The sequence below is a fragment of the Homo sapiens genome, chromosome 4 (genome assembly GCF_000001405.40).
Source record: "Homo sapiens chromosome 4, GRCh38.p14 Primary Assembly".
In the NCBI taxonomy this organism is placed as follows: domain Eukaryota; kingdom Metazoa; phylum Chordata; class Mammalia; order Primates; family Hominidae; genus Homo; species Homo sapiens.
The window spans coordinates 138554234-138556508 of NC_000004.12; the positions used below are offsets into that span (position 1 = coordinate 138554234).

The following is a 2275-nucleotide window of genomic DNA, read 5'->3' on the forward strand; positions in this document are numbered from 1 at the left end:
TCCTTATGTATGAAGTTCTTTCCTTTATTTTATGGCACACATAACTAGTATATACAATTGTTTCCTCATAACACGTTATTTATACACTAGGCTATTGTCATCTTCTAGAAGTGGAAAAGTATAGGGCTCAAGTACATAGGCTCTGTATCCCAGCTCTCCCACTTAGTAAATTTAGATAAGTGGCTTCACCTCTCTATGCTTCACTTTTCTTTTTTGTAAAATGGAGCTTATAAAAATACGTATTTCAAAAATTTAAAGACAAAAGTTTTCACATTTTAACATTTCTGAAATCAGGATGTGTCTTAACAATTGCGATCAGGCTAACCTGTAGTTGGGTTTCGCCAAAGAGGATTTTATTGTGCTCCTGCCCAGAATTTTCTACCCTTCCTGAATCCAGTGCAAAGATTGAGCCATGCAAGTGCTCTTGCTTTACCCTTCTGGGTGATGGATTTATTTTCATTTACCCTTATCCTGAGGGTAGAGATAGCCCTTTGTTGTCCTGGATTTATAGAACGTTCTCCTATCTTAAATGATGTTTCTTTCTTTGTATTGTATTAAATAACAGTGCATCTTACAATTGAAAACTCTTAGATGTGAAGAACTCTCTCAGAGGGTAGATGTGAGGAGTAAATAAGATCATGCATGAAAGAGCCGATAGTAGTGCATGCCACATGACAAGCACTCAACAAGTGCTATCATTTCTGTCTTACTATCAATATCTAGTTGTCGCTAAACAGAGAAACATGTTAGTTACCATTTCTGTCTTACTATCAATATCTAGTTGTCACTAAACAGAGAAACATGTTAGTTACTTAATTCTCTTAACCTATGTACAAAATGCAAGACTCAAAATGAACTAATAATGCCATTTAAAATAGACCAACTAAAGCAGTGCCCCTGTGAAATCCAGGGTAGCCATCGCCTGTGGTTAGCGATGGCCTCCACAGGGCAAGACTCAAACTCAGTCTATTTGCCAGAAGTGACCTTGCCAAATGTTTCAAATCCCCTCTGCTGGTTAAGACTGGCTTTACAGAAAGTGTTTCCATTATTGTTAATGGAAGGAGGGATTTAATCTTGCAGAGTTCCTCCTTAACATGCTCAAAATGGACTCCCCGGAGTTCTACAGATGCTGCATCAGCAGGGCAGGCGGGCTGGCTGGCAAAGATGCAATTCTCCTGGTATCCCAAAGACTAACTCGAAGGTCATGCTACTTTGCTAATTCAGTAAAATGTAATTACACTGCAAAAAGCTGGTTCTTTTTTGTTCCTCTTATTGATGTACAAAGTTCTTAAATGCCAGGGTGCTCACATACATACATATTCAGCAGCAGTGCATCTGCATCTATTCAAAGAGCTCTAGATTTGGGCTTGAGAAGGAACAAGTCAATATGCACCATCTACAGCCAATGGCAATAATTGATCTTCCTTTTCTGGGTCCAAGCCCTTTTCCTCTGCCACTCAAGCATGCAGGAAGCAGACCAGTGATGGCAGATTATGTATTACTTTCAGAGCTGCTTCATTGTGCAACTCCAAGGGGTGCCATTCACATCACAGTCTCTGTGAACAGTGCCCCCTGGAGTTACGCAGGCACTATTTGTGAGGCCATAAATGGCAGCCCTGGTTACTAGTAATTGGAGCTAAGGCAGGATCACATGGATTCTCTATAAACTAAAACATACATTGAGGTTATTTGATAGTGCCCTGACTAATAAAATATCATACCTTAAAAACAAACAAATAAATAAGCAAATAAATAACTTGCAACTACAGTAACCATGGTTTTATAATTACTGTCTTTATCGAAGTGTATTATTTATCTATACAGCAAATAACCTAAAGGAGAACCTGTATAAGGCTTCCAGTGTTTAAAACAACCCAGCTTTTTTGTTTATAAGCATCAACCTGGTATGGGTGTAAGTGGTACAAAACACCAGAGGATTCATCCAGCCTCCAGATTATCCCTCTGAGTTGTCTCTCTTTTCAAAAGTCTCCACAGACGATCTCCACCTTCTATAGTTACTCATACTAATGTCACTCCTCTTAAGGTCACAATTTCTTCCTGTTTTATAATAAAATCCATTCTTTTACCACTAAAGTCACTTTCTGAAGGTAAATCTTTAAGGAAGATAAAGACAGTTCTTTTTGTTAGTATAAAGTAGTTCACACTTCCAAATTTTAAGTCCTTGTTAAAGAAATCTGATATTGTGCCATACTTCCTGCCCCAAATAAGTTTCCCAGACCACTGTTTGGCAATGTGTTCTCTAAAAATCCTAAAT

The 2275-nt window shown here is 38.2% G+C and overlaps 1 annotated feature.

The window, feature by feature from the left end:
* Positions 1237-1801: an enhancer, noted in NCBI's record as "OCT4-NANOG hESC enhancer chr4:139476624-139477188 (GRCh37/hg19 assembly coordinates)". NCBI's record gives its function as "activates a minimal SCP1, AML or CMV promoter by ChIP-STARR-seq in naive H9 embryonic stem cells {active_cell/tissue: H9 hESC(naive)}" and the evidence as "EXISTENCE:reporter gene assay evidence [ECO:0000049][PMID:30033119]".